The sequence below is a fragment of the Homo sapiens genome, chromosome 5 (assembly GCF_000001405.40).
Source record: "Homo sapiens chromosome 5, GRCh38.p14 Primary Assembly".
NCBI lineage: Eukaryota > Metazoa > Chordata > Mammalia > Primates > Hominidae > Homo > Homo sapiens.
This window is the reverse complement of record NC_000005.10, coordinates 170,323,034-170,347,165: the sequence shown is the minus strand read 5'-3', so window position 1 is coordinate 170,347,165 and position 24,132 is coordinate 170,323,034. Positions and strand designations below refer to the sequence as shown.

Here is a 24,132-nt window from a genome sequence, read left to right as displayed (position 1 = left end):
AAGAAGGGCCAATGTGCAGCTGCTGGTGCTGCCAGGGCAGAGATAGGAAGAGACCAAGTTGGTCCTTGAAGCAGACCTTTCTCCCTCTGTTGCCTCCAAATGCCCAGGGTCTTTATACCACCTCATTGCTGCCCGTTGACATGTCCTTCCCAACTCTGCCTTTTCTGCTCTTGTTGCACGCTACACTAAAAACTGGACTCAGTCCTGGAGCACTGTATACGGGGGCTCCTTTACTGTGTGATCATGGAAAGAGAAGAACTGCCTTAAATTGGATACCAAAGGCCACAGGTATGGACACTGGCTGGTCCCAGAATGGGACCAAGAGAAAGCCCTACAAGACAGACTAATTTATATCTTACATCCACTTTCTCCTCTGCTTTCTAGAGTCATGAAAAGCAGGACACGGCCGCATAAAGTAGAGAGATTAGGGCAGGGATCCCAATTCTGAGATGCAAATTGATTCTCGATGCTACTTTTCTGTCTCTTTCCCATCAAAATATACCTGACCTGTGTTCCAGGTGCTCAGGGCTCTGCTCTTTCCAAATGGCCCAGCTGGCTTCTTCCACACCCTCTGTCTCCAGGAACTGCATCATCAATGTCCCAGAGCACCCAGGTCAGAACAGTGGGAGTCATTCGCAGCTCCTCCCTTATCCTCTTCCACCCAGCTTGCCCATTGCCAGCTCCTGTTACTTCTACCTCCTTAGTGTTTCTCTGATCAGCCCATTTCCTAGAAGTCACATGCAAGTTTTTCTCAAAGTATGGTCCAGCGTCCTTGTAGTGGATTGAATGGTGGCCCCCAGAAAGACATGTTCACAGCCTGGAACTTGTGAACATGGTGACTTATTTGAAAAAGGAGTCTTTGCAAATATAATTAAGCGTCTTGCAATAATAAGATCATCCTGGATTATCTGGCTAGTCCCTAAATCCAATGACAAGTGTCCTTTCAAGAAACAGAAGATAAGGAAGACAAAGGAGGAGGTGGCAATGTGAACATAGAGGCAGAAATGAAAGTGATGAAACCACAAGTCAAAAAATGCCTGGAACCACCAGAAGCAGAATTCCCCTGAGAGCCTCAGGAGGGACCACCACCTGATTTTGGACTTTCACCCTTCAGGACAATGAGAAAAAAATTTCTGTTGCTTTAAGCTACCCAGTTTGGGGTAATTTGTGACAGCAACCACAGGAAACTAATATGGTTTATTTAAATCATAATTTCTTACAGGAGTTACAAAAAATGTGGGTTTCAGGGCCCATGCCCAGACACTAGGAGGACTGACTCTCAAATTTCAGCAAGCATCACAATCACTTGGGAACCTGGTAAAATGCTGAGTCCTGGGCCTGCTCAGAGAACTAGCTGCTGGGCATGGGCCTTGGAATCTGTATTTTAATAAGTCCTACAAGTAATTCTAAGGACAGGGACTATGACCTTTTCCTCTGGTACCCCAGTGCCTGGCACAAAGCCCAGGGCAGAAGAGGAGTAAGAAAGTTAACTGGAGGAATGAATAAGTGACATTTAGAATCACACAACTATGGCTTCTGACTACATAGAGACAGAGTCATCAAGCCTATTCAGCAGCCGGAGAGAATGATGTTCCCCACCTCCTTCCCTAAAAGACATCTTTCTTGGTCTCCTGACTGACAAGGGCAATCATTTCATGTAGCTGTGGAGGAAGGGAACTTGTGTCTGTGTACCTACTAAGTGCCAAGCACCATGCCAGGCAAGTTCATCTCAGAATAGTGAATGGTCTCCACCCTCCTCAAGTCCCAACACAGTTCTGGCTGTGGATAGCTTGTAGAGACCGTGAAAATCAGACAAAAGTTCTCTGGTCCTGGATTAACAGGCGGACATGGAAGAAGGCAGAACCAGGCCCCAGGGGAAGGGATCAGGGAGAAGCTGCTGATGGAGCCTCCCATTCCCAGCCCTGTCTTCTGGGTCCCAGAGTCTGAGCTAACTGACATCACAGCCCTGGAGCTGATGAAGACCTCACCTCCATGGCTGAGAGGCTGAGGGTTGGACAGCGGGGCTGGGAGTAGAGCCTGATCTCTTTTATTGCCCCACCAACCATCATGTCCTTCTCCTACCCCAAGACCTCCAGTGACCTTCCATTGTCATTCCAACAAAATCCGACATTCTTACTGGGACCCACAAAGCCCTGGGTGACCAGGTCTCAGTTGCCTCTCCATCCTCACATCTCTCCCCCTCCCTCACTCCCTTCCAGCCCTTCTGGCCTTCTTGTTGCTCGTCACACAGGCCAAGCATGCTCCAGATGTAGAGCCTCTGCATTGCTCTTCCTCAGCCTGGAACATTCTATCCCCAGCCAAGCTGATTCACACTTTATTGAGGTCTTTGCTCAAACATCACATCCAGAGAGGTCTCTCCGACATGCATTAGAAAGGCACTCCCCGGTTTATCTTTCCTCAGAGTATGTGCCACTCCCTACCTCTCTGTTATATATTTGTCTGCCTAGTATCTGCTCCCCCACTAGCCTGAACGCTCCAAACAGCAGGGACTTGGGCTGTGTTCTTCCACGCTATCCCCAGTGCCTAGGGTGGCATGTGCCTTTCAGTAGTGGCTCTGAAAATGTATGTTGAAAGTGTAAACCAAAAATAAAATTCTAAGCCCCACCAACTCACTGAATGAAACTTCTCAGCCAAGGGGATCCAACTAAACCTGAAAAACTAGTTCGGACCATGACAAGCAGTCGGGGGAGCTGTTGGACATGCCTTATTATATATACCCTTCTCCGTTTAGAGTTCAGGCACACAACTGACCCATTAAACATCAAAACAGAGACCCTAAGACAGACAGAAGAGACTCTTCGCAACAATAAGATACCAAATTCCAACCTGACTCTAGCATCACATGACAGATAGCAGGCCCTGAAATAAACCGAAGTATTTTACCCTAAAATATATTTCTTTGACATCTTTTGAAATGATCCTGCAAAACTCTCTTTTGTGGGGAAAATTTACATTCTGTAGAGAATCCTCTTCCCTTCCAGGTCTTTTTCTGGTCCAGAAGAGATTGGCTGAGAAGTACCTTTTCATGGTCTGAATAAGAAACGTTTGTCATCTATTGCGTTTGGGGCAGCCGCCAATGAGACTTCATCTACATAATAAGAACCTTGGTCTCTATAACCCCTTATCTTAACCCAGACACTCATTTCTATCGATTCCAAGTCTTTGGATAACAACTTAACTCTCAACCAATTGCCAACCAGAAAATCTTTGAATCCACCCATGACCTAAAAGCCACTCCCCACCTCTGAAGTTGTCCCGCCTTTCTGGACCCAACCAATGTATGCCTCACATGTATTGACTGATGTCTTCAGTCTCCCTCAAACATGTAAAACCAAGATGTAACCCAGCCACCTCGGGCACATGTTCTCAGGACCTCTTGAGGCTGTGTCATGGGTTATGGTCCATAAGTTTGGCAAAATAAGCTTCTGAATTGACTGACCCCTGTCTCAGATACTTTTTGTTTTACAAAGGAAAGAATGCCCACCTCCTCATTGTCGGACAGTTGGCCCGTCCCTCTCTTCAGGAAAGTAGGCTCTCTCCTGCCTCCTGTGTACTTTGGGCTCCAGATGTTCCAGTAGCCACACTCTGTTAAACAAATCCACCTGAATATGCTTGAAATCTGGGTCTGTTCAGGACCTCACCTAGTTTAGAGCAATACTGAACCTGGATAATAAGGGTTTTGGAGCCTATAGGAGTAGAATTCAAAGCGTGCTTTGAGGTATGAATCACGATGGTTGCCTTGATAAACAACAGCCATCAGAGGACACAGAAAGGTAAAGAGGGCTTAGAAAAGAGGAGAGGGAGGCTGGCCTCAAGTTATTGCAAACAGCCATAGGGATTTTAGGAATACGCAGGTCTAATATTTGACTTGAAGTTGTTTGTGTAACCATTCTTTAGCTATGTGCACATAACCCAGTTATTCCAACCCATTAAGTCTTTATTTCCTTATCTTTAAAATGCAGCTAAGACCCCCTACCTAGTGGAACTGATGCCTGCATTGAACAGGGGGGTGACCAACTGCCCTGGTTTTCTCAGGACTAAGGGGTTTCCAGGGACACAAGATATTTTGTGCTAAACAGAGATAATCCATAGCACAGAAAAGCCCTTGAACAGAGCACCAGACTCTCCTAACAACAATAATAATGCCAGTGGAGAGCCTGCATTATTTTAACCAAAGCTCTATACTGCTTTCAGATTTGTGGTCACTTGCATTTTACATTTTACAACATACATTGTCACAAATGACCCCCAATCCTTTGTGGCACTAAGGTCTGGTGACAGAAACAGTAAAGGGGTAATTAGTTACAGGTATCCAGTCCCTTTGGCTTTTATGTTTCCTTCCCCTGTCCCCCCACCCATCTGGGTCTTGTCCCCAGAGATCCATTGATGGAGAATATAAGAGCTGCCCTGCTGTTCACAGTCAGACAATGGACCATCTCCTAACACCCTCAAGGCAAGCCACCAAGAAAGGGTGAAGAAAGGCCTCATGATGAGGTCAAACCACAGGTAGCTCTGGGCCTATGTCAGAGCAATCCCTCCAGAAATTCATCCAGAGCCGGTGAAGGAGGGAACTTGGAGAGGAAGTATATCGGTTAAGTAAGAGTCCCTTTAAATATTCATCTCCATTTTGGTAATTACATCACTGCCTGGATGGGCTGGCAGAGTCCTGGGCGGCTAATGAGCTGACTGGAGACGATGGCAAGTTTGCCCTGGGTCCCAGAGTGGGGTCCCTGAGTAGGCACTGTTTCCCACACTCTGGTGTAATGCTCACTGCAGATCCGAGAAAACCACCCTTGTCATTGTGCCCAGGGCCTCAGATGACGAAATCAACTCAATTCTTAGTGGAATTCCAGCCCAGTGCCAAGCTGGAGCGTTCTGGGAAGGGCAAGAGGCAAGAGGCACTCCAGATGAGAATCCAGGCTTTGGGGTGACTTTACTTCATTTTTCTCCATCTGGCCTGCAAGCTTGCTCACGACAGAGAAGGCTTCTCTTGCTCCTTTTATGCACATGCCTGCTGCACCACCCCTGTCCAGGTTATCTCCCTGCCTGAAGAATGCCAATATCCTTCACTTTTGTATCATCCTCACATTCCTGTGAGCAAAGGAAAGGCAGGCCCCTTCACCTGTACAAGCCTCAATTTCTTTGTCTGTGATATGGTTGGAAAAAGAGCTTCCAGGTTGTATATATCCAGGTGAAGTGTAAATGAAGTAATGTACGGTCTCCCACCATATAATGACATTTCAGTCAACACTTGACCTCATATCCGAAGGTGGTGCAATAAGACTATACTACTGTATTTTCACTCTACCTTCTCTATGTTTGGCTGTGTTTAGATAGACGAATACTCACCGTTGTGTTACAGCCATCTGCAGTATTCAGGACAGTCCCATGCTGTGCAGGTTTGTAGCGCAGGAGCAACAGGCTGTACCAGAGAGCCCAGGTGTGTTGTCGAATATGCCATCTAGGTGTGCATACGTGCACTCTGTGATGTTCACACAACAGTGGATTCACCTAAGGACACATTTCTGAGAACGCATCCCTGCTGTTAAGTGATGCATGACTGTATGAGAATTTCATTCCTAATCGTAAATTGTTGCATGGGCATGCAGTGGCATACTGAGTGAGAGGCGGTGCCTTGTGGTGGTGAAGAGCCCAGTTTCCATACCTTCCAGCTATGTGATTTTACACAAACTGAACCTCATAAGCCTCAGTTTCCCCATCTGTAAAATGGGAATACTAAAGTTACCTACATCATATGATGTAGTTAATGAGAAATGTGTGTAAGGACCCACCATGTAATAAGGGCTTGGACCATGGTAGCTGTCATTATTGTCACTATTGTCATAAAGATGATCATGAATCCTACTAGAGGCATGAAGGAACACAGACCCGTGACAATCCCCTCCAAGGGGTTATATCCCAGAATCACCAGGAGTCTGGCATTCTTGCCCACAGCTCTACTCCCAAGATCCTCGTATCTCTGTCCCTGGAAGTGAGTCTGGGAGTTGGATGTCCTTGGACTACAGAGCTTCCCTGCAGGAGGGCAGAGGACTGGACACAAGTGGACTTGAGGAGTTCCCAGGCTCCTTTGCATCTGTGGCTTCAGCTCAGGTTGGGAAGGGTATGGGTTGTGTGTCTCCAAAGCGTCAATAAAGGACTTAATCACAGGACAAACCTCTATTAAGATCCTGCCATGTCAGTGGAAAAATGCTTGAGCTTGGCTCCATGCCTTCCATCAGGGAGCTCAGGCCTTCAAAATGGCTGCGAGGGGCCGGGTGTGGTGGCTCACGCCTGTAATCCTAGCACTTTGGGAGGCAGAGGCGGATGGATCACCTGAGGTCAAGAGTTTGAGACTAGCCTGGCCAACATGGTGAAACCCTGTCTCTACTAAAAATACAAAAATTAGCCGGGCATGGTGGTGGGTGCCTGTAATCCCAGTTACTTGGGAAGCTGAGGCAGGAGAATCACTTGAACCCAGGAGGCAGAGGTGGCAGTGAGCCGCGATCGTGCTACTGTACTCCAGCCTAAGCAACAGAGCAAAAACTCTGTCTCAAAACAACAACAACAAAATGGCTGGGAGGTAGAACAATGAGAGGCATTGGAGCCCCTCTCTAAAGCCCCCCACGGGACCCTCTGCAGTGGTGTCTGTCCCTTCCAGTTCTCGCTCTTTCCTGTCTCTTACCCATATGGATGGAAGGTCCGGAGATAAACAAAAATGTTGTCAGGACAAAGAAATTACTATCTCAACAGCTGGCACCTGCCTTCCTCTTCTGGAAGGAATTTTGTTTGTTGAGGGATGGATCATGCTGGTCACCTTGATAAACAACAGCTGTCGGAGGACACAGAAAGATGAAGAGGGCTTAGAAAGAGGAGAGGGAGGCTGGCCTCCAGTTATTGAAAAGAGCCAAAGGGCTTTTTAGCAATTTGCAGGTCTATTATTTGACTTGAAGTTGTTTGTGTGGCTACGAAGCAACCCCCTTTGTCTCCTCAGACCTCCTGTGAAGTCAGTTACACACAAGGGACTGGTCAGGTTTTTAAAAGTGAAAATTCAGAAGAGAGATTGAATGAAAATTCAGATGCTTTTGATGCAGAATGGACCAATACACAAAGGAAGCCAGTCAGCTAAACTGGCCTAGTTTAGGGAAGCAGGCACTCAGGGCTCCAGGTGACTGGGGAAACCCTACCCTACACATACTACCACCTGCCTTAACACACACACACACACACACACCCACACACACATACACCTATACAATAGCAGATAAATCAGCAAAAGAAGGGGTCCACTATTTGGTGTGAGGACATTCTGGCAAAATCCACTTGAGTTTTATAGGATAAGGCATCTTAGCTGACTTCCGGATTTTAAAAATAATAGATACTAACATCAACTTGCACACTATACTGTCCAAAGTGCTTTCCCATATTTTCCTCCCTTTTAATCCCAGCAATTTTAGTTTCCATTTTCCGACAAGGAGACTGCAGCCCTGAGAAGTCACACTGCTCACTCACAGTGACACAGGCCAGGGTCTGCTCCCCACTGCTGTGGGCATCTTTGCTGACTCAGCAGAGCTCAAGCATCTGGTTGCAATAGTTTTCTGATCTTTAGGATGCTAAATAGCTCCAAAAATACTTTAGGGTGATTTCCAGGAGGCTAAGCTAAGTCTGAAAATGGGGCTCCATCTCTGTCATGACCTACCCCTCACCCCCAACCAGGGCAGGAGCTGGGACAAACCCAACCCAAGGCCCAGCAAGGGGAGCAGAGTGTGTGCTTGGTCTGGCAGAGAAAGGATGGGAAGGAGGCTACCTCCAGCAGGGAGGTCTGCGGGGGATCACATGCGCCCAGACCCCAGAGATCTGCATGTGTACAGATGGGGGAATTTTGGGTTCAGAGCCAAGGACCTCAGAAGAGTGAGCATTTCAAAAGATCTCTGCTGGGGAGCCGGGACTGCCCTTGGGACCCACAGAAATGGACTATTTTTGACCAGGACTCACTCAATGCCACTTCCTCTTTCTTGATGGGGAGAAAGTCCTGCAGAGGTCACCCTGTGCCTAGGTTGGAGGTGTTTTCTGTGCTGCCCCCACTGCCTCACTAGAGGGAGCTCAAGCTCCCACTTCTACCATCAGCCCACCTGGCCAGGTGAGGTTTCCCTTCTGCCCCAGAGAGGATGTGGGTCAGGGGGCTTGGCAGAGGCAGCTCTCCCTCCCAGTGATGGGAGGTCTCAGTGAATTTTGGGAAATGTTTTCAGGAGTCACAGGCAGCAAAGGCTAGATTTGACTATAAAATGAGTGTTGTTTCTACTCATAGTTTGCAAGCTCTGCAAGCCTCACTCGGAACCTGATGGTCTATATCCCACCCTCAACCTGCTCCCCCATCCCCAGGTTCAGAGTTCTTCTCAGCAAGTTCTGCTAAGTACAGAGACCAGAGACCCAGACACAGGGATGGGAGTGGGGAGAGGCAGAGGGCATTCAACTGGGCCAAGGTCACCATAAGAAATATCCCCCTCTCTGGATAACCAGGATTTATTTCTGGACACTTCATACTATTCCGGCCTCCAACCCTCTGCTGGATTCCTTCTGCCCAGCCATGTGCTCAAGAACAATGATAAGAACGATCACCCCTCAAGGAGGCAGTATGAGTGGTGCTGAGACCTAATCTCCCCCAACTGGATGTGATTGTCATAAGACCAGAAACATTGTCTATCTTGTGTACCACAAAACCCTCAATGCCTAGAATAGCACCTGGCACACCGAGAGCATTAAATATTTTATGAGTAAACTAATGGCTCCGATCCTTACTGCTTCTTTAACCTTGGACCAGTTACCTCATCTCTTTGAGTCTCAATTCTTTCCTCTGTAAAATGGGACAAAAATATACTTACTAGACATGGTGGTGATGAGGATTACATGACAGAATCAGCTAAGGCATCCAGCACGGCATTTAGTTAGAAGTAAGCCTCAATAATAACAACTAAAATCTCATTAGGAATTCATCTGCGTCAGGGTGAGAGTGAGAGAACCTGTGCATATAATCTCATATAATCCTTCCAGGAGTGCGGTTCTATTATCATCTTATTTTTACAGTTGAGGACACTGAGGCACAGCGAAGTTCAGTGACGAGTTCCAAGTCCTTTTGCTGGTAAGTGGCCGTGGAACCCGATTCTTAAGCCCAGGCCATCTGACTCTGCAGCTTTGCTTTTACGCTCAGAAACTGCTTGCTTAGTAGAGTCCTCTTGGATCTGATACTCTGCAAATGACAATGCACTGTTTTGGTTGTCTCATGCAGAGAACAAGGCAAACCTCCAAATACCCTTTCTGTATCTGACAATTGCTTTTGGCATCTTTGATCCCAAGCACCCAAGAGGTGAGTTGCCCAAGGATCCAATGATCAATGGTCAGCTGTCTGATACGCTGTGGTGTAGAAGCAGAATGGGGTCAAAGGTTGTGCAGTCCACATTGGGGGCTCTCAGCCTGCAGAGCCCTCAGTAGCATCCAGTTCTCTGGTCAAGTACAAATACCGGTGCCCCTCCTTTTCCATTTTACAGAAGAGGAAACTAAGGCTCAGAGAGACAGTGACTTGCATCTTTAACGAGCACCCTGGGCCATTCTGACGCAAGTACCCCTCCTATCTTTGGAAATTAAAAAACAAAAGCAAAAACTAAAGATCTACCACATAGGCACTTACCCTAGGGTGATCTGTTTACTGGGAAGAGAGGGGACAGCCAGCCCTGTTTTGGCTTTTCAAGAAATAGGAAAATGCCAAAGAAACGTCAGTCTCCCATCCATGGCTGATTCCCCATTCCTCCTGCCTTCCGGCATTAGGGGACCACCCCCGTGGTCTGCCCTCTAAGGAGAGTGCTGAGTTGGCTCTGAGGCAGCAGCCAACCCTGCAGAGAACACGAAGCCTGGAAAAAGGGAAGGAGTGGAGACTCTGAGCTCCTCCCTGCGTCCTCCCTTCTCTACCTCCCTTCCCTTCCACTGGAAAAAAAGAAAATTGCCAAGTAATTGCTCCTCAACAACCCCTGCTGGTCCTCAGTCATTTCTTTCTTGCTGAGATTATAATTAGGGATCAGTACATTTAAATGGGAAATCCGTGAGCAGCACAGAGCCTTCGTTTGTCAAATGCTGTTTCTTGCACCCTGCAAATGGTGCTCAGAGTCAGCTGTGGGCAGCGGTTATGAGGTGAGGTCCCCTAGTGAGGAGGGGTGGTTAAGTCAGAGAGCACAGCCCCTTGACTCTTGGCAAGGGTACAGGAGCACCAGCAACATGGATGAGCATTTACTCTGTGCCAGAGCCTGGGCCAGGTACTCTCTAAACCTGATTTTACCACATCTACACTTGGAGGTAAGCGCTAGTTTTATTCCCATTTTATAGAAGAGGACACTAAGGCCCAGAATGACAGTGACTTGCCCCAGGCCACACTATGGGGACTTGAAGCCCCATGTGACTGAGCTCTAAGCCTCTCTCTTTTATCCTAAAATCTGACTGCTTTCCCAATGGAGCAGAGGTCTAGGTCCCAGACCTGAATAAATTCCAGGTTTTTGTCTCTTTTCCTTCCCCACTAACATCTGGATGTAGTCACACCTGGCTTGGGCCTGTATTCTCCCTCATGTGCCCGGGATGCACAGGTCAAGGCAAGTCTGGTAGGGCCGGGAGAGAGGAAGAGAATCCTGCCCTTCCTCTTCGCTGTGGCTTCTCCCTGGACTAATAAGATTGCCCTCCTACGCTGGGTCCTCAAAACATGCTCTCTGAGCAGGTAGGACCCACAACATCCTCTGTATTTTAGAGAAGAGGAAACAGAGGCCTCAAAGAGATGAAGTGACTTCACCCAAGGTTCCTCGGCCAACTATTGGCCGAGAGAGTCAGGACTTGGGTGCGGGAACTCTTGACACCCTCATCCCCACATGTAGGGCTGGGCTCCCTCTGCAGGGAACAGGTCTATGGAAATGGAAAACAAAAACATCAACAGGTGGGAGAAGGAGATGAAGCAAAACTGTTTTGGGCACCTATATGGTTGCTAAAGCGAAAAGGCTTTGGAGTCACTCTGGCAGTATTAAGTTTTGTCTTGGCTTTTCTAAGCATCATTTAAAACGTGAGGCTGTTTGTGGTCCTCACCTGGTGGGGAAGACGTGAGGACCCACCGGGATCACAAATGTAAAATGAGGACCCAGTGCACTGTTCAATACATGTGAGTTATGAGCAGTTGCCATTGCTAGTTGTGTTACTTAATAGCATATTGATATGAGTGAGTCTTATAATAACATTGTGAGATATTGGTATGTCCATGTTCCAGATGGGAAAACCAAGGCTCAGAGAGAAGAAACCTGATTTAGACACACATCTTGTAAGTGGCAGATCCAGGTTTCAGGATTCTGAGTGGCACCCAGACAGATCAACCCATAACCTCAGTCTCCAGGACAAGCATCAAGTGCCTTGACCACTGCACCTCTCAACCATCCTGCACCCCAGAAAAGTGCACAAGGTACAAGAAATCCTTCAGGTCAAGGACAAAGGCCCAGTGAAGTGACTCTCATTTTTCTGGAACCTTCTTCTGTTGCCAGTCACCTGCTGCTGGGGCCCTTTTAGCAAGTGGTAGATAAAGAAAAATCCCTAAAAATAAAGTATAATTTAAAAAAACCTTTTTTTTTTATTTTTTATTTTTGGAGACAGAGTCTCACTCTGTCACCCAGGCTGGAGTGCAATGGCACAGTCTTGGCTCACTGCAACCTCCGCCTCCTGGGTTCAAGCGATTCTCCTGCTTCAGCCTCTAGAGTAGCTGGGATTACAGACGCGTGCCACCATGCCTGGCTAATTTTTGTATTTTTAGTAGAGACAGGGTTTCACCATGTTGGCCTGTCTGGTGTCGAACTCCTGACCTCAGATGATCTGCCACCCTCAGCCTCCCAGAGTGCTGCAATTACAGGCATGAGCCACCACACCCAGCCTAATGAAGAAATCTTAAACCTCTGCCCATCTCTTCAAATCTAATTTGTAACTTTTTAAAAAGTTCATGAGCTGTCAGGTTTCTTTCTTTTTCCTTTTCCTTTCAATATTTGCTCTCTCTCCTCTCCACTCTCTCTTTGTCTCTAACTCTCTCTCTTTGTCTCTCTCTAACTCTCTGTCTTGCTCTTCTTCCCTCTTTCTCTTTGTCTTCTGTCTCTGTTTTCTGGCTTAGGAATATCTTAGTAAATTAATACCTAGAATCTGGAGGAGCTATAGACCTCTCCTTTCTGCCTCCCCTCTGAAACTTTCCACTCTGAGCTTAGCGGCCGCCTGAGCCCAACCCCGGCTCAGCACCTCTATGAGTGCAGCACTGTTATATATCACTGTAATTTTCTCCGGCCTCAGAAACACACAGCTAAGCCTCTCTCCTCATGGTCCTAAATGTAAATGAACACTGTCCCTAGCTGGGAAGGCCAGAATCATAAATTGGCTGTGTTTCTGCAAAGCAAAACTTTTTAACCAGAAAGATGTACACTCTTTATCTTCTCGGCTGGAGGCATAGAGAGATTTAAAAAGAAAAAAAAAAAGAGAACAGAGGACCCACTGGGAAAGTGGGGATGAGGGGAGAGAGAGAATAAGCAGAAGGCAGGAGAGACAGAGGGTGATTGAAGGAAAAGAGGGGCTGCAGAGAGGCTCACAAGAGCCATAGCCATCTCTCTCATGCCATAGGTAAAAAATTTAACATTAGATTTTTCATTTCACAGACAGATAAACTGAGGATGCTAGGAGCTCAGCAGCAATACGAGAAGGCAGGGTATTATCTAAAATTAAGAACAGTGCAGCCAGGGTGGGAAGAGAGGGAGCTTTGGAGCTCCGTAAGCTCCAGGAACTGAAAAACCACAGTCTGCCTCATCTTTCTCCCTGTCCGCGGAACTGAACTAGCCTCCAAAGCCAAACGGGTTGTTCTGCTGACTTAGCTTTGCATGGCGAATGCATTTGAAGCTTCTGTAGGTTTCCAGAAAAATTGTGCATTTCCTAGGGAGTAAACACCATAGCTTGATTCATATTATCAGTTTTGGGGTCCATCTACCCCATAAACCACACATGACTCCACTTTGCTGAAATAGGAAAGATGGTGCAGTGATGCAGTAATATTAGCAAGAAACAGCCAGATAGGATCTAAATGGGGCAAGGGTGTTGATTTGAGGTTCAGGAGAAGCCTTGTGCCATTTTCCCAACCTCACCATATAAAGCATGGGTGAGGGCCAAAGATAAAAGCTGCTTCCGCCCAGAGCACATTCCCAGGGATCTCCTGGTACAGTCCACAGTACTGATGATCAAAGCAGTAACAGCAGGGTCTTTGCACCACCTAGGCCAACTGAGGGTTCATAAGCTAAGCAGGCGTTCAGCTTTGTTACCCTTGGAGAAATGCTGCATTTTCACTAAAGAGCATTTCCTGTTGCAGAGAGGAGAGCTCGGCCCCCTGCCGGGATAATCACAATAAAGTCTCCGTTGATAAAATGGCCAAGGGGCAGTGTCTCAGGTTTCTCTGGTTTGCAGGTTATGGAGCTCACTTGTGAGCTCCAATCCTTGTGAGTGGAAGCATCTTTCTGAGACGCTGCACCCTCTGCTTTCCACTGTACATTCATGGTGCTGGGCTTGGGGAAGCCAGGGACCAGGACTATGGACTGAGTGCTTCCCACACCCATCACCCCAGGACACATGCTGGAAGATGTTCTCTTTTCTAATAAACCATCTACTAAGAATATCCGTTAGTCATGTTCTCTTTTCTCCTGAAAGTCAGGCGTGGGTGTCTGCCTAATGTCCGGGTCCAGTACAGTGTCTTCTGTGTGCTGAAAGACAGTCGGAGTTTCTCTTCTTCCTGTGGTTTTGTGGGCAGTGTCGTTTTGTGCCAACCTGCTGTCTGGGACTGATGAGCGCTCACCCAGCCACCCTGAGACTTGGTGGTGGACAGATGCACCCTGCTTCCTGAGATAGGTGCTGGGACCCACAGGGTGTTGAACAGATCCCTCTGGTCATGAAAATGGCCCTCTGGCAGCCTCTCAGTGACCTGTGTAAACCAAAAATAAAATTCTAAGTCCCCCAACCATCTGAATGGACCCCTCGCCTCGGCCAATAGCCTTCCAAAGTTAACCTGAAAAACTAGTGCAAACCGTGGTGGGAAGGGAGGGTCGAACGTGCCTCATTATTTCCTGCTCCCTTTTGGAACTCAGGCACAACTGACCAGCATTAACATTAAAACAGACCTTAGGATTGACAAAGCTGATTCTTTGTAGCAATAAGACACCAAATTCCAGCCTGGCTGTAGTATAGCATCACATGACAGAGAGCAGGCCCTGAAAAAAAAAAATCAAAGTATTTTGCCCCAAGTTATGTTTATTTGCTGTATCTCAAAATAGTCCTGCAAAGCTGTCTCTTGTGGGGAAAATCTATATTTCGAAGAGAATCCCCTTCCTTTTCGTGCTCCAGGAGAGAATTAATTCTGATAAGAAACATTTACAACCTATTCTCTCTGAAGCCTGCTACCTGGGGCTTCCTCTGCATAATGGGAACCCTGGTCTCCACAACCTCTCATCTTAACCCAGACATTCTCTTCTGTTGATTCTAGGTCTTTAGATGATAATACAACTTTTTCAACCAATTGTCAATCAGAAAATCTTTGAATGTATCTATGACTTGAAGCCTCTGCTTTGAGTTGTCCTGCCTTCCCGGACCAAACCAACGTACATTTTCTATGTATTGATTTATTTCTTGTATCTCCCTAATATATATAAAACCAAACTGTAACCTGACCACCTTGGGCAGGATCTCCTGAGGTCTGTGTCACGGGCTATTGGTCACTCATATTTGGCTCAGAATAAATCTCCAAGTATTTTATAGAGTTTGACTGTTTTTGTAGACACCTGGGACAGGAACTCTTGGCAGAGCAGACCCCTGGAGGCAGCACCCCTGCTGCTGTGCCTGCTTTCAAAACCCCATGGCTCGTCCTTCGTCCCCTCCTCTCTGTCTCTCTGTGACTTGAAGAAGGATGAAAGGCGGCCTGCAGGTGGACCACAAAAGTGGGAAGCATCATTCCCACCCAAGAAAGGAAAGAGAACAGAAGACGCCTGATCAGAGCCTTCCTGAGGTCTCATCTCCCCTATCTCCGGGGAGCTGAGAACCACCCCCAAGGATTTGGTGGGTCCCCTCCCCAACAGGCCCCTCCACCTCTGGTGAAAGAGCTCTGCCCACTTCTCTGCTTAGTCTGAGCTGATAGGAGGGAAAAGGAGAGCACTGTATGAGTCACAGGTCTCATTACCTCCCCTCATAGCCCAGGGGAAGGGGAGATGGCAGAGGCGGGTAGCAGGCAGGGCTGGGGATGTGCCATGGGGTTCCCCTGGCTTCTCCCCACAGAGGCTGAACCTCCTGGGGGAACATTTGAAAGCCTCAGAGACCAGCTATGGTGCCAAATACTAATGGCCTCAGTTTCCCTTCCTATCCCCCACCTTTGCACGAGTGTGAGTACTCACCCCCCGTCAACTATGTGACCTTGGGAAGACCCCTCTGAAAGACCTCACACCATTCATGTTAGTCCTCCTTCCCCACCTCCCCACACCATCCACACACCACATGCATCAAGCCCCACCGACTTCAGTCCTCAGCATCCTCGCCCCTCAAGAGGGCTGAGAAAAGGAACCATGCTCTTCACGAGCCACCATACAGACGTGGGAATTCCCCTGAAGGTCAGAACCACAGCTCCTTCTCAGCAACTCCTTCTGGCCCCAGGAGTGGGAGGTCTCATGGTCCCAAACAAAACGGAATTGCCTGTGACTCATACCCAGCCCTGCCTATTGAGAAATCTACTTCCGGTGTTGGGGGTGTGGGGTGGTGCGGAACTGGAGCCAGGAAGGGGTGTGTTTGTGTGTGTGTGTGTGTGTGTGTGTGTGTGTGTGTGTGTTCCTCAGCTTCCTGGCTACTGAGTCTTCTCAAGACCAGAGCTCCCTGGCTTTTCAGAAAACCAGCTCTCAAATCATCTAGATCATCTATCCCCCTTACTAGGTAGTCCAGTGTGGCCCAAAGCCTATTTGGACTTTTTTTTTCTTAAAGGAGAAGAAAAAAAGAACCAAGTGAAAACAGAAAATAATTCAGCCACGTGAAGCTGAATTATTATAGCTGCCCCATGTGAGTCGGGAAAGAGAAGGGTGCTTCCTAAAACATGTTAGACAAGGCACTCTGCGGCTTAGTCCCATCCTCCACGCCCCGAAGTCTGCAGCTCTCTCATCATCTTTGCTGCTTGAGTTTTGAGAGGGGCCCAGTGTGCCTTCTGCAAAGCCTGTGCCACTTGCTTCGAAATGTGGCTGTCTCTGGAGGGTTCTCACGAGTCCCACGCTGGATCCTGAGGGCACAGAACTGAAGCTGTTTCAGTTTTTGGTTTGCATGTTGTTGTTACTGTCGCAAAAGGGAAATATCAACTTGGATATTAACAAAATGGAGAACTGAGACCCACCCTGCGATTTTTGCCATTTTCTCATTTTGGTAGAACAAGAGCAAAGAACAAAGGCGCCTTCTAATGGCATAACCTAACTTTTAAGGTAACAGCATCATTATATGTTTAAAGCAAGAAAAGAAGAGGAAATAATGTTTGTCAAAATCTATCATGTGTCAGACATTTTACCGAACTTTCTCCCCTAAGCCCAATGACATAGGTACTTGTGTCCCCATTCCATGATGGGGAAATGGGGGCTAAGAAAGGTGCGGTGACTTGGTTAAGGTCATACGTGTAGAGATGAATGCTAGAGAAAGGATTCAAAATCAGGTCTGGCTGTTGCTGAGTTTCCTGTATTTTCCAAGTTCTTACACTTTCCCTAACTTCCCTGCCTTCATCTCTGTCCTCTCCTCTGCTTACTCTGTTCTTTTCTGTTCCTCAAACACACAAAGCTCATTCCCACATCAGGACTTTCTGTCTCTCTTTGTTTGGCTGCTTCCTTTCTTATCATTTGGGACTCATCACAAAGGCCACCTTCTTGTAAGGTGACCTGACCATTCCTTTTAAAGTAGTACCCTCTGGGATATTGCTCTGTTAATTTACTTTACAGTACTTCTCACTCACCTACTTTGTTTATTTCCGTAGTCTGTGACCCCCTACCCACCCCTCACTGACCCTGCAACAGACACTAGAATGTAGGGCTAGTGAGAGCAGAGGCCTCTTCTTTCTTGTTCTTCTCTATATCCAAAGAGTCTGGAGAAATGGCTGGGACATTGAGGACATTCAGAAATATTTGTTGGATGGATAGGTGGGTGGGTAGATGGATGGATAAACAGGTGGGTGAGTAGACGGATGAGTGAGTGGGTAGATGGACAGGTGGATGGGTAGATGGATGAGTAGATGGATGGATGGACGGATGGGTAGGTAAATGAATAAAATGGTAGATGGATGGACAGGTGGGTGGGTAGATGGATGAGTAGATGGTTAAATGGACAAGTGGGTAGGTAGATGGATGAAAGAGTAGATGGATGGTTGGATGGGTGAGTAGGTAGATGGATTAGTGAGTAGATAGATGAATGGATGGATGGGTAGATGGATGGATGGATGAAGATGAATGAGTTGGTGAATGTACGTATGTATGAATGTATGGTGTCTACTATATGGCAGGTTCCAGTGAGGATGTAGAGATGAATAAAATGATGTCTCTTTGATCCAAATGTTTGCTTTGAAATGAGGGAGACCTTCTCAATAGTCAAGTAGTTGCATCAAAGTATATTAGGTGTTCTGAGGGAATATCAGATCTCAAAAGCACATTTGGGATAGAAATGAGGAAGGGATCCATTTTTGCTGCTGGAGGGTGATCAGAAAATGCTCTATATGGGAGATAACACTGTATCTGATCCACGAAGGATAAGTGGTTATTATTCAGGTAATCAATGAATTTAAAAGCTTCCCTGCAGCCTAGGAAAAGGGAAAGAAGCTGAACACAGTCTTAGAGTCTAAAAACTGCAAGCTATTTGGTGTGATGGGACAAGAGGTGTGAAAGATCTGGTCTTGATTGCTACTGCATATTCAGTGTTTAGCATTCAATTACCCTACTATTGGCACTTCATAATAGTACTCAAGAATAGGTCCTCAATAATTATTTGTTGAAGAAAGGAACAAAAGGAGAGCACAGGGAAAAGTAAAGCTGGCAAGATTGACCTGTGCTGGGTACTGCTGGGCTAAGGAATGTAGATGCTAGTCAGAGGAAAATGGACCATCACAGAAGGGTTGATGAGATGCATGTTTCTGATGGTCACCCTGCTAAGCACAGGAACTGTGTTGGGGAAAGTCCAGGAAGTGGCAGGAATAGACAGAGTGGACTATGGCTATGGTCCGAGTGTGGGATGTTGAGGACCTGAGCTAATCAGGATAGTGTACGTGAAAAGGTAAAGAGGGATTCTAGAGACTTGAGGAAGGTAGAACTAGAGTGCTATCCATGGTTCCATATGGATGAAGAAGGGAAGAGGGAGGGAATATAAAGAGAAGAATTTTCCATGCCCCTGCTGGAATGACTAGATGCTAGCCACTGGAATACAAAATGTATGGGGTGGGGTTCACCATGAAGCTAATGAAGGTTATGTGCGAGAATCCCTCCCTTTCACATCCACTATCAAGGTCCTAAACCTACTCTTGTATTCATTGTTTTCTTTTTATTTATTTTTTCCTAAAGAGCCCCTTCCTGGCCAATTATAGAATCCTCAGGCTCCACCAAGCCTGGATCTTCCCCTGGAAATACAAGGAGAACAGTTTGGGGGAAAGGATTCCATTTGGATTGTGAATTCCATTTGGGGCATGGTAGGTTAGAGGTGGATGAAAAACCTTGAGGTGGAGATGTTCTGCAAGGAGCACAGTGTGGGACAGGGCTTGAATCCTGGCTTCATGCTGTGTGGACATGGGCAAGTTGTTTGAGCTCTGTGCTCAGTAAAATGGGATGTTAATGATAGTACACCCTGATAGGGTTGTAAAGATTAGATGAGACAACATAGGTCAAATGCTTAGAACAGTGCCTAGCACATAGTGAGTGTTGAAAACAAGTTGCGTGTTGGCTTTTGGTATTCTGTGGGGCAGTGTATATCTGAGAGTCACTGGAGTTGAGGGTGGCCTTGGGGGGAGTTGGATTGTGTAGCAAGAGTGTATTAGGGCTTGATATGAGGAAGACCAAGGACAGAGCTCTGATATTTATCAGGGTGAGCAGAGGAAGAGGAACCAGCAAAGGAGGCTGACGAGGACTAGCCAAAGGGGTCCTGGAAGCCAGGGGAGGGGAGAATACCAAGCAGACACTCAGTCATGGGTGTCACCTGCTGCTAAAAGTCTAGCAAGAAGGTGACCACAAGAGGCTGCTGGCATGGGTTTTGGGGACATCTCAGTGACCTTGTCAGAGGGCTCTCGGTGGAGAGTTGGGTACTGAGGAATGAAAGTCCCATGCAGACGACAGGTGTAGATGGTCTTCTGCAGAACCTTGGCTTTGGGAAAAGACAGGAGGCAAGAGGCAGAGGAGAACAGAGGCAGAGAGAAGGTGTTAGGGTGGTTGATTTGTTTTGCTTTGGGAGGACATGATTCACTGTTTAAAGATGAGATTCACAGGCTTTGGGGGCTGTGATGAAGAGTTGGTGTGTAAAGTTTAACAATTTGAGGAAGAAATAAAATAATTGATTAAAAAAAAAGTGAATGCCTTGAAAGAATTAGGAAGGGGAGGAACAAGTGACACAATAAGTGGCCAACCCTGAACTGCTCTCTGAGTCTCGAAGGAAGGGGGCAAGGGTGGGAAGGTTATAAATAAGCTTCTAGGTAGGAGGACAGGAAATGGGGCAGTTATGCCTGATAGCCTCAGGTTTGTTGCTGTGAAGTAGGAGGATAGATCATCTGCAGAAACATAAATACACAGCTTCTCCCACACCGTGGGCACTTAGGACAAATTATGATTACGAAACTTAAAATCTCAAGGGAATATTAGGGTTAGAGGAACCCGAGTTGATGGTAAAGTTATTAATATCCCTACAAATTGTTTTACTTCGATTAATATAAAGCAGTGAACAAAGCATACCGAGTAAAAACAACCTCAGAGGCAATTTGCACATCTTTGTTAGTGCTCTACCGTTAATTTTAATTTGCAAACCTTTGTTTGCTTGTAGGTGCTTGAAGCATTTCAGGATCTTCCTACCCTGAAGTTTCAACTTACAAATAAATGCTAGCTAATAAATAAAGTTATGAATCATTTCAAACTTACAATGAAGTTGAAAGAATCTTACGATTAACACCAATATACACACAACCTTGGTTCAACCATTAATGTTTTACTAAGCTTGTTTATTTAAATAAACCTTTTAACTACAAAAAGGAAAATTACAAAAGTACAGAGTTCCCATATACTTCCTAGCCTGTTTCCCTTATTATTAAAATCTTATATTAGTATGATACATTTGTAATAACTAATTAACTAATATTGGTGTGTTATTAACTAAAATCCATACTTTAAGTGGTGCGATCTCAGCTCACTGCAACCTCCGCCTCCCAGGTTAAAGCAATTCTTCTGCCTCTGCCTCCTGAGTAGCTGGGATTACAGGCACATGCCACCAGGCCTGGCTAATTTTTTGTATTTTTAGTAGAGACAGGATTTCACCATGTTGGCCAGGGTGGTCTTCAACTCCTGACCTTGGAGGTGTACTTACAAGGTATTTCATAGAATGTCCCTCAGTTGGGATTTGTCTGATGATTTTCTGGCAATTACACTGTGGATGTGGATTTTTAGAAGAAAGACCGCAGAGGTAAAGTGCTTTTCTCATCTCATATCAAGGATACACACTGTCCACATGTCATCGCTCTTGTTGACCTTGATCACCTGGCTGAGGTAGTGCTGGTCAGGTTCTCCACTGTGAAGTTACACTTTTTCCTTCCTTTCCATGTGTACTTTTTGAAAGGAAGTTACTAGGTGCATCCCACAGTTCAAAAAACTTAATGAGGAATTACGCGTCACCTCCTTGAGGGTGTAAATTTGTATTTTTTTTAATCACGTATCTATCCATCAATTAGCTATTCCTTTACCCATCCATCAATTCATCTTACTTTTTTAGACGTTTAAAAATAAGTTTGCAGATTTATATTATTTTGTTGCAGGCAACACATATGCTAAGGCACTTTGTTTCTGCGCCTCATCTGGTCCTCAAACCAAATGTCAATTCTTTTTAGGTTGTACACAGTTTCTGGGTTCTGCCTCCTGGGCCTCCACTGGAGTCAGAATCACCCACAAAAAGTCCTAGATTGTGAAAAAGATACCAAACCTGGGGTATTTGTTCTATTATTTGGAAACTGGTAGACATTTCTCAAGGCCCCTTTCCAGTCCCCAAGGTTAGTGGTCTCAGCTTTGCCATGTTGACATCTTGTTCAACACTCTGGGTGGTGCCCCACACACTCGCTGCCTGAAGGCCATCCTCTCTCTCCTGTTCTTCCATGTCTTCCAGGGCTTTAATGCAATAATTAAAAAGTAATAAACCTCCATTCCTCCTTTTCTTCTGCTGACCTTCCATTTCCATTCTCGGTTCCTAGTTTCCTTTTTTGCTAATTATCCCCATCCAGAGGGACACTTCATTCACACCCTGAAACTGAAATTCTTCACTTCCCAATACATTGGAATATATTAGACTTTCTAGTACTTCATATAAAGTAAATTCAGGGTTGTAGATACAACATTGCTGCATTTTATACTATATATATATATATATATATATATATAAAATAGCTATAGTGTTATACATTTTGCAAATATGCCAAATTAGATATTTTGTGCCAGAGTGCAAATAGCTGCATGGGAATAGCCCAGTAAGTAAAATAACTGAAGGCTGTTAAACGTGATATGAGTCTGGTAAATTCTTGCCTAAGTGGAAACCACTTTAGAAACTTTTCTGTTTTCCAGTCAACAATGTATTTCTTTGTTGATGCTCATCACACTTAACTTTTTTCATGTATTTTGTCTTTCCTTATACCTTCCTCCTCCATCATATTGCCTTCTCCACAAGAATTGGTTGTGTGCTGGTTAGAACAACCCATAATGACTGGCTGGTTGGGTGGATGCCTTGATGGATGGATAAATGTAAGTTCCAGATGTTTTTAAAGAATCATCTAACCTCTTGCTTGTACCATGTAGTCATCTGTCCTCAATTCAGAGGTACTGGTAGTGATGGCTGACCACCATCACTGTAGTATTACTTCAGGACTTAAAAAATGTTGTTTACTAAACTAACATATAGTAACGTTGACTTTTTTGTGTGTACAGGTCTATGAATTTTAATGTCTAGATTTGTGTAACTACCACCACAATTGGGATACAGAACAGGTTCTGTCACCCCAAAAATCTCCCTTGTGCTAATCCTTGGCAGCTGTGCTCTCCCCAACCCCTAGCCCTTGGCGATCACTGTTCTGCTCTCCATCACTCTAGTTTTGTCTTTTTTAAGAATGTCTTATAAATGTACCCCTTTAAAACTGGCTCTGTTCACCCAGTATAATACCTTCGAGATTCACCCCAGGTGTTGAGTGTATCAATTGTTCACTCTTTTATTGCAGAGTAGCATTCCATGGTAAAGATGTGCTACCATTTATCCATTTACCAACAGAAAGACATTTGGATTATTTACAGTTTTTGGTGATTGTGAGTAGAACTGCTATAAACATTCACACACTGGTTTTTGTGTGGACATACGTTTTCATTTCTCAAGGATAGCTACCTAAAAATGAGAATGCTGGTTCACATGATAAGTGAATGCTTAACTTTATGAGAAACTACAAAGCTGTTTTCCAGAGTGGTGTACCATGTGCATTTTCACCAGCAATATGTAAGAGTTCCAGTTGCTTCCAATCCTCACTAGCACATGGTTTTGTCAGTATTTTTAATGTACTTAGGGTATGTAGCAGCATTTCATCATGGTTTTAATTTCCACTTCCCTAAAGGCTAATAATATCAAACATCTCTTCATATGCTTATGTGATGTCTGTAGGTTCTCTTTGATGAAGTGTTTGGTCAAGTCTTTTTATCCATTTTTAACTTGGGTCTTTGTTTTCTTACTGTGGCATTTTGAGCTTATTTATATATCCTGGTTATGAATCTGGGCCATTATCTTGAAAGACACAATCCCGAATGCCATAATCTCAAATGTTGAAATCTCCAAAGATAAGAATCCCTAAAGTCTAAAATCCTGAAATTAACAATCCTAAAAATGTAAATCCTGAAAATATAATTCTGGGAAAAATAATTTTGAAAAGTTTAGAGATTATTTACATTTGAAAATATGTTTCTTTATTAAAAACATATAAAACATGACAGAGCACCTCACAGGCCACTTTACACAACAAAATAGGCAATAATAACATTCATATTTTTGTAAACATAAACACTCAGGTATACTAATGGCAGTCACATGGGTATAAGAGCTCTGAGCAGATGAACCATATTCATAAATAAATAGGTCAAAAAGTGAAATGTATATACACATATCACTAATCTTGGTGTTGTGCGCACCTCACTTCATAACTGCAGTCATCTGAAATACCTAAGTCTTAATAAGATGGATCAAAAACTGCAATGGATTACCATGGCATGTAGCTGCCCAAAGAGCTGAGATCTGGAGACATTTTATCTCTCACAAATGCAAATGTACAAAAGGATAGCTCTTCCTTGGTTGAGGGAGTTTTGATTTTTTACATGCACACTCTCTGGTTACGCACAAAGTCAAAATTGCAATAAGGCACTTTCAGGAAGTCAAATTTTCAAAAAAATGCATACAGTGAATTAGAATTTTCTAAAAGTCTATACGTAATTTATACCTCCAGTGTTGAAAATAATGCAATGATAAAATACATAGCATAGGGGACTGGTGCTCTGTGTGAAGGAGCAGAAACCATATATGACTGAATAATTTGACAGGGGAGTTTTCTTGTATTCTTGGCCTGCATTTTCAGTTGTATAATCTTCGAAACACTTGCTGCACTTGTATTTGGAGAGTGGCTATGGTCTACAAATTTTCTAAGTCCACGACATCCATTTAAAAGTCTGGTTATTGCTTGGTTGTTGCAATTAAGGAATTTTCTGCTTTTGCAGCACTAATAATAATTAGCTTTTAAACTTTTATCTTTCACCATTAAACAGCCTC

The 24,132-nt window shown here is 45.2% G+C and overlaps 1 long non-coding RNA gene across 3 annotated transcripts, besides 7 other annotated features; it reads right to left on the bottom strand.

Moving 5' to 3' along the window:
* Positions 7,738-7,947: an enhancer, noted in NCBI's record as "active region_23610". NCBI's record gives its function as "activates an Ori minimal core promoter by ATAC-STARR-seq in GM12878 lymphoblastoid cells {active_cell/tissue: GM12878}" and the evidence as "EXISTENCE:reporter gene assay evidence [ECO:0000049][PMID:35858748]".
* LINC01366 (long intergenic non-protein coding RNA 1366) lies at positions 12,066-15,773 on the bottom strand. 3 transcript variants are annotated; one of them, NR_026945.2, is made up of 3 exons: positions 15,589-15,773; positions 14,229-14,318; positions 12,066-14,032 (listed from the first exon to the last, which is right to left on the bottom strand). It is a non-coding gene; the product is annotated as a long intergenic non-protein coding RNA 1366 (long non-coding RNA). The 3 variants fall into 3 exon arrangements; NR_108024.1 differs by having other exon boundaries at positions 15,608-15,773; NR_108025.1 differs by lacking the exon at positions 14,229-14,318.
* Positions 12,774-13,621: an enhancer, noted in NCBI's record as "OCT4-NANOG-H3K27ac-H3K4me1 hESC enhancer chr5:169760549-169761396 (GRCh37/hg19 assembly coordinates)". NCBI's record gives its function as "activates a minimal SCP1, AML or CMV promoter by ChIP-STARR-seq in primed H9 embryonic stem cells {active_cell/tissue: H9 hESC(primed)}" and the evidence as "EXISTENCE:reporter gene assay evidence [ECO:0000049][PMID:30033119]".
* Positions 13,622-14,471: an enhancer, noted in NCBI's record as "NANOG-H3K27ac-H3K4me1 hESC enhancer chr5:169759699-169760548 (GRCh37/hg19 assembly coordinates)". NCBI's record gives its function as "activates a minimal SCP1, AML or CMV promoter by ChIP-STARR-seq in naive H9 embryonic stem cells {active_cell/tissue: H9 hESC(naive)}" and the evidence as "EXISTENCE:reporter gene assay evidence [ECO:0000049][PMID:30033119]".
* Positions 13,656-13,705: an enhancer, noted in NCBI's record as "active region_23609". NCBI's record gives its function as "activates an Ori minimal core promoter by ATAC-STARR-seq in GM12878 lymphoblastoid cells {active_cell/tissue: GM12878}" and the evidence as "EXISTENCE:reporter gene assay evidence [ECO:0000049][PMID:35858748]".
* Positions 15,271-16,470: an enhancer, noted in NCBI's record as "P300/CBP strongly-dependent group 1 enhancer chr5:169757700-169758899 (GRCh37/hg19 assembly coordinates)". NCBI's record gives its function as "activates an origin of replication core promoter dependent on BRD2, BRD4, P300/CBP, MED14 and CDK7 cofactors, with strong dependence on P300/CBP, by STARR-seq in HCT116 cells {active_cell/tissue: HCT116}" and the evidence as "EXISTENCE:reporter gene assay evidence [ECO:0000049][PMID:35650434]".
* Positions 15,537-15,706: an enhancer, noted in NCBI's record as "active region_23608". NCBI's record gives its function as "activates an Ori minimal core promoter by ATAC-STARR-seq in GM12878 lymphoblastoid cells {active_cell/tissue: GM12878}" and the evidence as "EXISTENCE:reporter gene assay evidence [ECO:0000049][PMID:35858748]".
* Positions 19,237-19,336: an enhancer, noted in NCBI's record as "active region_23607". NCBI's record gives its function as "activates an Ori minimal core promoter by ATAC-STARR-seq in GM12878 lymphoblastoid cells {active_cell/tissue: GM12878}" and the evidence as "EXISTENCE:reporter gene assay evidence [ECO:0000049][PMID:35858748]".